Raw genomic sequence first — 13,075 nt, forward strand, 5'->3', positions numbered from 1 at the left:
TTGCTTGAACCTGGGAAGCGGAGGTTGCAGTGAGCCAAGATTGCACCACTGTACTCCAGCTTGGGCAACAAGAGCAAAACTCTGTCTCAAAATAAAATAATAATAGTAATAAATCTTAGGATGGAACTGATTTGAAGTATTATATAATGTTGAAAAATATGGAACAAGAGTGTCATCAAGTGGCCAATATACTTTACTTTTAAATGCTAGGGGCTGGGTGTGGTGGCTCACACCTGTAATCCCAGTACTTTGGGAGGCTGAAGTGGGAGGATAGCTTCAGCCCAGAAGTTCGAGACCAGCCTGGGCAACATAAGGCGACCCCATTTCTACAAAAAAAATTAAAAAATAAGTTGGATGTGGTGGCATGCGCTTGGTACCTTTGGAAGCTGATGTGGGAGAATTGCTTGAGCCTGGGAGGTTGAGGCTGCAGTGAGCTGTGATCACACCATTGCACTCCACCCTGGGTGACAGAGTGAGACTCTGTCTCAAAAAATTTTTAAAAAGGCCAGGCAGGTGGCTCATGCTTGTAATCTAAGCACTTTGGGAGCCCGAGGTGGGTGGATCACCTGAGGTCAGGAGTTTGAGACCAGCTTGGCCAACATGGGGAAACCCCATCTCTACTAAAAGTACAAAAATTATCTGGGTATGGTGGCATGCTCCTGTAATCCCAGCTGCTCGGAAGGCTGAGGCACGAGAATCACTTGGACCTGGGAGGCGGAGTTTGCAGGCGAAGGCGTGCTGTTGCACCCCAGCGTGGGCGACAGAGGGAGACTCCGCCTTAAAAAAACAAACAAAGTTCTAGTTGGAAGATCTCTTAGTCCATATCTTATGCCTGGAATACTTTCGTTTGTTCTACTTTTTCTAGAATGCTTTTAACTGTAAACATGTGATTTTGTGGAAACAGCCTTGAACTTGACCACCAAACTTCTAATCTGAACTCAAGCAGGCAGACAGGTGTTTGATTTTTTGATAGGATAGAAGAAGAGGTGATATGGAAAATTCCTCAGCTTAAGTCGCAGTGTCTGTGGTTTTCCGTTTCCACATTTAAAATAAAAGATATTTGAGGTTGTACTTCACTTATTCTTAAGCTTGCCTTGCTAATTACCTGGCTGCTTTCTCAAAATAATTCTTGAAATCGTAATTCTTTTTGGAAGTCCCTATTGACTAGAAAGGAAGTAGCCAATATTTTATATGAATATTTGTGTATATTTGGATGTGGGAAGGAGAGAAAAATGAGGTTCAGAATAAGAAGTAAATGCTTTCCATCTCCCCATTCTTCCCTTCCCTTGTATCCCTTTCTCCCACTTTGTCGAATTTTACTCATAACCGGTGAACATATGTCTGCTGACACTGAGGGTTCTATCACCGCTTACCTGGTTTGACTGATGTGAGGGGCGGGAATTACCTTGGGGATTTGTATTAACAGGAGAATCTGAGCTTCAAAAATCTGCTTTTCAAATAAGCATCTAAAGTAATCTGCAATCACAGATGGTTCAAGGACCACATTTTGAGAGACAGTGCCTTATGGGGTGTTAGTTCTTCCCTTCCTCCATTCTCCTGATGACTTTGCGTCTTTTATATGCCAGCCAGTATAGCTGGAGTGTTTGCGATATAGCCAAAGACACTGTCCTAACTCTCAGGCTGTGTACTCTTTGATAATAAAAAGCATCAGTTTCGTCAGATGTGTTTTTTGGAGGCCTCATAATCCTGGTTGTATTGTTATTTATATTTCTTCAAAGGCCCTTTTTGATTCATCGTATAGTTCATTGTATTGAATGCATTGTATCATATATGTTGATACCTTCATTTCCAACATAGCTAGAAACCTATAGTTTTGAAAGCTTTTGTTGTAAGTTTTCTCTCCATGGTAAATGGACCTTTGTCTTACTTGCAGTTTTTACCTGGTGATTTATGGAACAGTATTAAAAATATGTCCAGACTTTAATATACTGTTTCTCTATTTAGCATGCTTCAGGGTTATGGATAAAACAACAAAAAAATCCTTAAAATCGAGATGATACTTGCACAAAGAAAATTATACTAGTTGATACTGAGTGGTTTTTACAGCTAACCACTAGTACCGGACACTTTTTTTTTTTTTTTTTTTTTGAGACAGAGTCTCACTCTGTCGCCCAGGCTGGAGTGCAGTGGTGCGATCTCGGCTCACGGCAGCTTTCACCTCCCAGGTTCAAGTGATTCTCTTGCCTCAGCCTCCTGAGTAGTTGGGATTACAGGCGTACGCCACCATGCCTGGCTAATTTTTGTATTTTTAGTAGAGACGGGGTTTCACCATGTTGGCCAGGCTGGTCTGGAACTCCTGAACTCAGGTGATCTGCCCTCCTCGGCTCCCAAAGTGCTGGGATTACAGGTGTGAGCCTGCACCTGGCCTTTCTTGTTTTTTTTTGTTTTTGTTTTTGTTTTTGTTTTTTTGAGACAGGGTTTCCCTGTCCCTGTGTTGCCCAGGCTGGTCTCTAACTCCTAGGCTCAAGCAATTTGCCTGCCTCAGCCTCCCAAAGTGCTGGAATCACAGGCCTGAGCCACCGTGCCCCAGTGAGTTGGCATTTTAAACACAGGTTTTAGAACTTTCCTGGAGGCTGAGTGAATATTTTTAAAGATTAAGTGTCTCCTTAAGCTTTATCATGAATAATATGCAACACTTGGGTTTGGCTAGAAATCACTAGGGATTTAATGGTCCTAAAAAGGGAAATACTACTCTGGCCCATAAATCAAGGTTAAACTTCTAGGGTCCACACAGAGATAAAATATTAGATAGGACTGCAAATATGACTGTCAGAACGCCTTTCTTATCTTCATGAACAAGTTTTTTTTCTCTCTCTGTACACAGCCATACATTCATGTCTGTAAATACCTGGCTTTTTTAGGCTCAGTTTCACAAAATGTTGCAGAATGCTTTTAATTCTTTCTCATTCTTCTCATCACAATTAACTGTTGAACATAGTTTGCACTAGTTTTCAAATGTCAACCATGAGAGTTTCTATCTCAGGGAAAAAAGGAGAGATTATAAAAGAATTCCACTAATCCGTAAATGAGAAAGGGTATCTTGATGTTTATTACTGTTTAATTTTCCTTCCAACACTAACAGAGGTACATATACAGCTACTATGAATAATGGTGAGTACTCTGTGAATACTCTTAGGTACTAGTGCACATGATGTTAGTTTTACAAAACAGTTGAGTCCTATTTCTGTTAAATTTTTATCCCCTAGTATAAAAACACAATTTATGATAAATCAGGTAAAAATGAAAAATCAAAGTCTTAGTTTCTTTTTTTTTTTAATTAAGACACCATGGAAAGGTCAAACTAAGCAACCTTATGTCTTACCTTATATCTAAACAAAACCCTTTCCTAGATGTAATTCTTTGGCACAGTAACTGATTAGAGGAGATCATTTGCCTATTTAATAGAGAAAACTTATTTTAACTTTGTTATCTTAAATATTAATATTTAGTGAGGTGATATTTTTCGTCTATCTTCCATTGAATTATCTTCGTATCGTTTGTCTGTTTTTTATTAGTGTGTTCATCTTATTCTTAGTGGTTTTGCTAGCATTCATTAAAAGATTAAAAGTAAATCATTATTATTATTAAGTTTTTGAAACAGAGTCTCGCTCTGTTCCTCCAGGCTGGAGTACAGTGGCGTGATCTTGGCTCACTGTAACCTCCGCCTCCTGGATTCAAGCCATTCTCCTGCCTCAGCCTCCCGAGCAGCTGGGACTACAGGTGTGCACCACCATGCCCGGCTAATTTTTGTATTTTTAATAGACACAGTGTTTCACCATGTTGGCCAGGCTGGTGTCGAACTCCTTGAACTCAAGTGATCCATCCCGCCTCGGCCTCCCGAAGTGGTAGGATTACATGTGTGAGCTACTGTGCCCAGCCAAAAATAAATTATTAAATATTAATATTTAAGACTGGCATTGATGTTGAAATTTTCTCTTTTAATTGGAAATGTACTTTAAATCTAATTCTAATTTTCACCTTAGAGGCCTTTCTGTATATAGTTTATACTTGGTATTTTGATACAAAATGGCTCTTCCTGCATACTTACAAATTTTTTTTTCTTACAGTTGTTTTGGGTGGGTGGGGGATCTTTTTATTCTGTCTTTTCCATCCAAACATTTAGCTTTTCAATTCACCTGAATTTATCATGATATGCGTTATAATAAGAATTGATTGCTGTCCTCCCCAAATTGTCTCAGTTATATAAAATATTTTAAAGCTTGAGAGTCCATGTATTCATGTAAGGTTAAAAATGAGATAACTGATGATGAAAAGACTAAAACCTGAAATTGTAATATAGATACCATTCATGTCAGAATTGCTATGTCTGGAGAGGTTAGGAAAATGAAGCTCAGAGAGGTTAATTATAATAAGGTCAAAAGGCCATATATAAGTAGATGAATTAATTGTTGAATCTGTATCTGCCATTAAGGAGTAATCTGAGATGTGGAACTCTAAGTAAATGTGTTTCTCAAAGTTATTTACTCACAGAACCCCCTTTTATGTTTTGTAGTAGAATGGGAAATACTAATATTTTGTGGATTAGTGTTCTATGCAACATATTTTAAGAAAGGCTTTTTGTCAGATCTCTGGTAGAGAACAAAATATGAACCAGCCAAAACATTTCTATCATTATTTAATTTTTCTTTCCAAAATACAATTAAACTTTTAAAGCACAAAAATTTTAAGATATTGGTAAAAGATGGGGTGAAAAAGTCCGTACCTTTCTTGATATTCTGTGGGAAATATGAAGCTGTAGGTAGCCTCTTTCTTCTTTAATAAATTGTGCTTGAAAACTTTCAGGACGTGCGTAATTATTTAGATTGGAGGTTGACAAATTACAACCCATAGGCCAAATCTGGTCAGCTGTCTGTTTTTGTAAATAAAATTATATTGGAACACAGCCACGCCTATTTTTTATATGTTATCCGTGGCTGCTGTTGTGTGTCAGAGGAATGTTGAGAAGATGTGATGGAGACCATATAGCCACAGTGCCTAAAATATTATTTGGCTTTTGAAAGAGCAAACATTTTCTGACCCCTAGTTTAGTGAGCTGCATTTTTGCCTACTTTACTTCATATGTTTTATCTGCATAAAGATTCTTTTACTGAAGTTCTCGGCATTTCATCCTCTGTAAAGTAAGTTCCCTGGGAAGTCAAGCTGAAGTCTTTTTCTAGAAGCTTTATTATGGCTTGGTTTTAAACTCTTAGAGACATGCAAGATTCCATAGTTTTGCTTTCCTGAATGACATACAACTATCAGGCACTTGTATTGGCATGCCTGGCTCTTTCTTGCTGCAAACCTTTTACTGGTTTAATGGAAGTAATACCAGGGTATAGGGTAAATAGACATAGCTAACATCTTTTGAGTGCTATATGCCAGGTTCTGTTCTAAATTTTTAACATATATTATTTTGTTTATTCCTCACATCAACTCTGTGAAGTAGGTATTATTATTATCCCCACTTTATAGTTGAGGGAACTAAAGCGTAGGGAGATTAAATAACTTGGTCAAGGTCATCCAGTTGTTAAGGAATGCAATGAGATTTGAAACTTTCCCCCCAACTTACTTGCCTCCTAATTCCTTGATTCTTGAGATGAGTTCGGGCATATTTCTTCCTCCTCATTACTTTCTCCAAGCCTCTGTTTCCACGTCAACTTTGAACGTCCTCATTTACACCACCCTGTCTTATTGTATTCTCTGATGAATTTCCAGGAGACCATTCCTTCTTCCTTGATGATTACAATTTCTGACTCACAATCTTCTCTATCCAATCTGCCTCTGTATCGTGATTTAATGCCATGTTTAACTCTAGTTGTTTCTTGTATTTTTCAACTTTATATATCCACAGGCATGGCCAGGCCTTACTTTCATCACTGGGAATTGTTTTGCCGTTATCATGAACTCTGAATTTCTGCTTTCTGACTTCTGAACGGTTCACTTACATACAGCCCTTACATGCTAGTGAGCTTCTTTAATTCAGTCCTTTTTAACATTTCGTGTGCATAGGAATCACCTGGAAAGCCTTATGCAGAATCCTGAGTCACACCCTTAGAGATTCTGATTCAGCTGGTGAGGGTTGATGCCCATGAATTTGCATTTCTATCACCTTTCCTGCAAATGCTGAGGCAGGTAGGTCTATGGACGTACATTTTGAGAAGGATTGCTCTAATTAATACTTTGCCCCAGAGGATCAGTAAAACTTTCTAATTTGCATAAAGCCTCCATTCACATTCTTTCTTTACTTTTTTGATGACTTCTGTAATTACTGAGACAAAGGCCTTTTGATGAGAACTCTGTTGTATTTTATTTTCTTGAAATAAGAGTTTTTCTATTTATTCTTTTCATATTCTTCTCTTCTACTTAGTCCCTTTGTCTCACTTTCTCCAGTTGACTTTTGGCTCCTTCTTTACCATTAACATTTTTGTGTCTTGCGTTATCAGTTTCCCCTTTTATAGTGAATTGGCTTTTTTCTATCAGCCTTCAGTAGTGGTCAAATAAGCCCCTTTCCTCAAAATACCATTCCTTCCCATCTTCCCTCCTTCAGCCTGTTTTGGAAGAAAAGTTACAGCTTTTAACTTCTTCACTAGCTATATCTTAATTTCTTGCAATCTGCTTTGGTTTCCAGAATTTTACTGGACTCTTGGACTGACAGATCAAATGACTTCTAGGTGTTTTTTGTTTTGTTTTGAGACAGGGTCTCACTCTGTTGCCTAGGCTGGAGTGCAATCTCTGCCTCCTGGATTCAAGCAATTCTCCTGACTTAGCCTCCCGAATAGCTGGGACTACAGACACACACCACCACACCCAGCTAATTTTTGTATTTTTAATAGAGATGGGGTTTCACCATGTTGGCCAGGCCTGTCTGGAACTCCTGCCCTCAAGTGATCCGCCCTGCCTCGGCCTCCCAAAGTGCTGGGATTACAGGCGTGAGCCACCTCGCCCAGCCTGGTGTTTTTTTTTTTTTTTTTTTTTTTTTTTGAGACAGAGTCTTGCTCTGTCACATACACTGGAGTGCAGTGGCACGATCATGGCTCACGGCAGCCTCTCCTGTGGGGCTCAAGTGATCCTCCCGCCTCAGCCCCCTGAATAGCTGGGAGTACCAGTGGGTGCCACCTCGCTCAGCTATTTTTTAATTTTTTGTAGAGACAGGCTTCTCTATGTTGCCCATGCTGGTCTTACACTCCTGGGCTCAAGCAGTCTTCCCACCTCTGCCTCCCAAAATTCTGGGATTGTAAGCATGAGCCACTGCACCCGGCCAACTCCTAGGTCTTAAATGCATAGTCTCCTCGAGACTTGCAGTGTTTGATACTATCATTTCTCTTTTTAAAAGTTTTCTACCTTTGCTTTTTACTCACTGCTTTTTTAAGGTCTTACTGTTCTAACTACTTCAGTTCTTGTTCACATAGTACTTTAATCTGTTACTGCTTTTTCTAAAGTTTGTGATGCTTTTCCCACCATCTAAATCTATGCTGTCCAATATGGGAGCTACTAACCGCATGTACCTTTTGAGCACTTGAAATATCGTCAGGTTAGACTGAAATATTCTGTAAGCATAAAATGCACACTGGATTTTTAATATTTAGGTTGAAAAAGAGAATGTAAAATAGCTTACCAAATTTTTTTAATGCCAATTACATGTTGGTAATACTTTGGATATATTGGGTTAAGTAAAATAAAATGCTAAAATTAATTTGACCTGTTTCTCTTTACTTTAGATATGACTACTTCTTCTGTGGCTTGGCTATATTTCTGTTAGATAATATTAATCTAAATCTCATCTTTCCTTAAGACCTGGATCAGTTTTCCATCTATTTACAAAGTTACCTTTGTAGCTTTGTACCAGCCTTCTTAAACATTTGGTCCTCACCCCCTCTCACCCTACTCCCCCTTCCCAATATACTTAGCTTCTTCAAAGCAAGAGTAATTCCCTATAGTGCTGTTCATATGGTGGACACTATATACATTATATAATACACACACACATATCTGAAAAAATGGCTAATATTACCACTTTATCAAAAAGGATACTTATGAAAATTGAGGCCTGTTGTGATGTTTTTGCTTAAATTGGTGGGGAGCAGAAGAAGGATTGATGTGAAGGGGAGAAGAGACATTATTCTACTCTGAGCTATTGACATTTGACACTTGACATCCCCCAAGTGTATCCTGCCACCTTAGGCCACTGATAGCTCTGTACTGCTGTGATTTTACTGCCATCTGGTGTCAGATTAGGAAACTGTAGTTCAGCATTTTGTCTCTTCAATAGAGGAAGGTAGGCAATCTTTCCTCTCTATCCTGTAAGCAAGTTACCAATAAGAGCTCATATAATTTCAATGTAGGAAACCTTTATTTTCCTTGTTGGAATACTCTTTCCTTGGCTTCCATGATAAATGCATTCTCCTTTCTAATGTTTCTCTGTTCTCCCATTCTTCGACAGCCCATTTCTCTCTTCATGGTAGAGTTTTTTTAGCCCCACGTTCTAGGCCTGCTGTTCTTTTTTTCCTTTGCTTTCCTCTATACCAGGCTTTAAGTACTGCCTATTTACAGACAAATTTATATTGATAGCCAAAAATGTCCTCTGAGTTTGAGACTAGTATCTTTAGTTGCTTACCTAGATATTACACAAACATCTTAAATATAACATGCTCCCATCAAAATGTGGACCTCTCACCTGCATCCTCATTTCTTAAATTTATTTTTCTCATTTCATTAATCTATCATGCCAGAATTATGGGAATCAGCTTGGCATCCCGTCTTTCACACTTTATTAGTAAAACGTTAACTACATCCCATTAAGTCTAGAGGGTATATTCTTGTATATGTAAAATTTGTGACCCCTCACCTGCTCCTGTCCCATCTAAGATACCACTGTCTCTTGCCTGGACTAAGTTAGGTTCCTCGTTAGTCTCTCTACATCCATTCTTGACTGCATTCACATGTTTTATGTATATTTGTCTAATGTCAGCCTCTCCTATTAAACCGAGAGTTCTGTGATGGCAGGGACTGTGTACATTTGGCTCACCATTGGGTCCCAGCACCTCACACAATTTCTAAAACCTGTTTATTTAATACCCATATCACCACTCTGGCTAACCAGTGCTGTTGGTATGACCCTTGTAGTTTTAGTGACTAAACTAGTGCTAGAATTCCTTAATGCTCTATTTCATTATTAGTGTTCTATACCAGTTCATTTACCATAAATGAATTTAAGCTATTTTCTGCTTTTTCCCAGGGAAACTTACTTGTGTCTGAAGGGACAATATATTTGGGGTATTAATCAGCTAGTGTTCAAATGAACTTTAGGACAACAGCCTGTTTATATCCTATGGACTGCCAATCAAGATGCTGAAATGATTTTCCAAGCACTTGAAATTGTATGCTATTGGTATGTCTCTTAGCACTCTTCTGTCTGAAATTTAGTATTCTTTAATGTTGCAGTACATTTGTTAAATCATGGATTAAAACCTGTTTGACTCTTAAGTGTTCTTTTATTAGAGGCTTAGTTGATGATGGTTTCATTTAGTAATTTTGATTTGGTTTGACATTTTAAAATGGTTTTGCTTTATAAGGTTTTACTACTAGGGCTTACTTGGTGCTTTGAGTTGATGGTATTTCTCAATAAAGAAATTTAATTTATAAAAGTAGAGGTGATTTATAAAAAGTAGTTATTTAGAGATGGGCAACAATCTATGTACTGAGGATGCACACTCAGCAAGAATTTAATAGGTATATAGCAGGGTTTCTCAGTGTTGGCATTATTTACATTTTGGACTGAAGAGTTTTTTGGTGTGTAGTGTTGGGGGGCATGTCCTGGGCACTGTAGGAAATTAGCAGCATTCCTGGTCCCTACCCATCAATGGTACTCTCCTCCCCAGTTATGATAATCAAAAATACCTCTAGACAATGCCACATTGTCCTGGGGGTGGGTGGGCAAATTGCATATACCTTGAAAACCAGTAGTTTCTATACTTAGAAGGGGATAATTGGCCATGAAATGTCTTACTTGGGAAATCTTTGGCATTTCTAAGTGTTTTTGAGAATGTGGTAGCTGTGTGGTGTATTGTTAATGGCAAAGAGAAATGGAAACTATATGACAGTATGTTTTTTACATTTTAGAATTTGTGCTTGCCTAAAATAAAATAACTTTTGCATTAGCCACCTGGTTCTGTTCCAAACTGAAAAAGGGTACATTCTAAATCATATTTCACTGATACTGTTTCATTTTGTTAGCTGACTTCAACAGTTAGGTAGTGATAGAAAAAGAGAACCAAGAGTACAAATTTTTTTTTCTTTATTTTTGAGACAGTCTCGCTCTGTTGCCCAGGCTGGAGTACAGTGGCGCGATCTGGGCTCACTGCAAGCTCCGCCTCCCAGGTTCACGCTGTTCTCCTGCCTCAGCCTCCCAAGAAGCTGGGGACTACAGGCACCTGCCACCACGCCCAGCTAATTTTTTTTTTTTTTTTTTTTGTATTTTTAGTAGAGATGGGGTTTCGCCGTGTTAGCCAGGATGGTCTCCATCTCCTGACCTCGTGATCTGCCCGTCTCGGCCTCCCAAAGTGCTGGGATTACAGGCGTGAGTCACCGCACCCGGCCCCAAGAGTACAATTTAAAGGGTAGCTTATAAGCAGAGCTTTTGCCATTGTGCTTGTATATAGAGGATAGAGTATAATTAACTTATTTTATGTTTTTTTTTTTTTCAAAGGGACATGAGAGATGGCTTTAGAAGAAAAAGTTTCTACTCTTCCCATTATGCGAGAGAGCGGTCTCCTTATAAAAGGGACAATACTTTTTTCAGAGAATCACCTGTTGGCCGAAAGGATTCTCCACACAGCAGATCTGGTTCCAGTGTCAGTAGCAGAAGCTACTCTCCAGAAAGGAGCAAATCATACTCTTTCCATCAGTCTCAACATAGAAGTATGTATTTTAAGACTTTATTTTTTTCTCTCACAGTCTCCTCTGATGAGAATGTACTGAGTCAGATTTCCTTCTAGGTGTAAGAGATTTATTTTTTAAACTTTTTATTTTGAAAAATTTCAAACTTACAGAAAAGATGGTAGAATAGTATAACAAACACCATACACACACATTTTTTTCAAACTATTTGAAGTGGCATTCTGCATGACACTTACCTTTAATTTCTTCAGCATGTAAAAGGTTTTTTTTTTTTTTTTTTCAGAGTCTCGCTCTGTCTCCCAGGCTGGAGTGTAGTGGCACGATCTTGTTTCACTGCAGTCTCCGCCTCCCGGATTCAAGTGATTCTCCTGCCCCAGCATCCTGAGTAGCTGGGAATACAGGTGTGCACCACCATGCCCGGCTAATTTTTGTGTTTTTAGTAGAGACGGGGTTTCACCATGTTGGTCAGGCTGGTCTCAAACTCCTGATCTCGTGATCCGCCCACCTCTGCCTCCCAAAGTGGTGGGATTACAGGTGTGAGCCACTGCTCCTGGCCAGCCTTGTAAAATTTAGAGTGAAAACCTCTCTTACTCTTTTCCAACCCCCAATTTTATTTTATTTTTATTTTTATTTTATTTTATTTTTATGTTTAATTTGTCATGCCTGAACCTACATGACATTCTGTACAATCTTAGCATGTCATGCTGGCTGAGTTGCTTAGTATGTGTTTGAATAAATTAATGACACAACTACTTTTCTAGAGAAAGCATTCTTATCTTTCTAGACTCTGCAGCCTGCAGTAGAGCTCGTTCACATAACAGTTCCTTGTGCCTTCTATGTGCAAGGCACTGTGTTAATATTATACAATGATGTCCCTGTCACTAGGGAACTAGAATATATGTTTATATTTCTCACCAGCTAATACCAACTTTATCAATATGTTTATATATAACTTTGATACAATAATTGATATGTCATAAATGAGTTGACATGAGCATGTCAAGGTGAGAAAAATTAATTCACACTCTGAGGATGTAAGAACATGTCATAAAGGAGATGACATTGGGCTCAGCCTTATTTCAGATTTCTACAAGTAAAGAATTGTCTTCTAGTTAGAAGGAATTATGAGCCAAGGTGCAGAAATCAGAAAAGTCCAGGATATTTCCTTTTCAACGTCCTTCTCATTAACTGTCTTTTTTTCAAATAATAAGAGTTTTAATTTAACAGCCTTTGCCTCTTACATGATGAAAGTGATGGAAAACCATTTGGAGTCATCAGATTGTCTTCCCTTGAAGCTGTTGCAAGATTCTTGAGTTTAGCAAACATTTATTGTCTACTCTTTGCAGAGATAGATAGAGTGGGGCTTCCCAAAAAACATATTTTTGGATACAGGTATATTAATGATGATGCAGGAGATAAGAAGGTTATTTTAAGGATTTAAAACAAACACAGGCTGGGCACAGCAGCTCATGCCTGTAATCCTTGCACTTTGGGAAGCCAAGGTGGAAAGATTACTCGAGCCCAGGAGTTTGAGACCAGCCTGGGCAAACATAGTGAGACCCCTGTCTCTCAAAAAAGAATTTAAAAATTAGCTGGGTATGGTGATGTATGCTTGTATTTTCAGCTACTCAGAAGGCTGAGGTAGGATTGCTTGAGCCCAGGAGGTTGAACCTGCAGTAAACTGTGATCACGCCACTGCACTCTAACCTGGGCAACAGAACGAGACTATGTCTCTAAAAATAAATAAATAAATAAGTAAATAAATAAGCCACTTCCATATATATATCTGATTGTCCAAAATGTGCTTGGGACAGTTCTGGGTAACTGAAAGTTTTATTGTGGAGATTAATGTTAACAAGTATACAAGTATTTTTTCTTTTGCTTCTATATACCCCATCCCTACCACATAAAAAAAACCTTAAGAAGATAAACAATCTGTAAGCCAAGCTTGTCCAACCCCCGTCCTGCAGGCCGCGTGCAGCCCAGGATGGGTTTGGATGCAACCTGACACAAGTTTGTAAACTTTCTTAAAACATGAGGCTTTTTTGCGATTTTTTTTTTTAAGCTTACCAGCTATTGTTACTGTTTGTGTCTTTTATGTGTGGCCCAAGATGATTCTTCTTCCAGCACACCCCAGGGAAGCCAAAAGATTGGACAC

At 38.6% G+C, this 13,075-nt stretch overlaps 1 protein-coding gene across 41 annotated transcripts in view; it reads left to right on the forward strand.

Annotated features, from left to right (window-relative positions):
* The window catches only part of PPHLN1 (periphilin 1), a 122,455-nt gene that overhangs the window by 37,970 nt on the left and 71,410 nt on the right, over nt 1-13,075 (forward strand). For all 41 annotated transcript variants that reach the window (NM_001364826.2, XM_017019434.2, XM_011538459.2 and 38 more), the window contains one exon: nt 10,727-10,938. In NM_001364826.2, the coding sequence (NP_001351755.1) occupies nt 10,731-10,938 (208 nt within the window). In that variant the 5' untranslated portion in view covers nt 10,727-10,730. The remainder of the gene's footprint in view (nt 1-10,726; nt 10,939-13,075) is intronic.

This window comes from Homo sapiens, chromosome 12 (genome assembly GCF_000001405.40).
Source record: "Homo sapiens chromosome 12, GRCh38.p14 Primary Assembly".
NCBI lineage: Eukaryota > Metazoa > Chordata > Mammalia > Primates > Hominidae > Homo > Homo sapiens.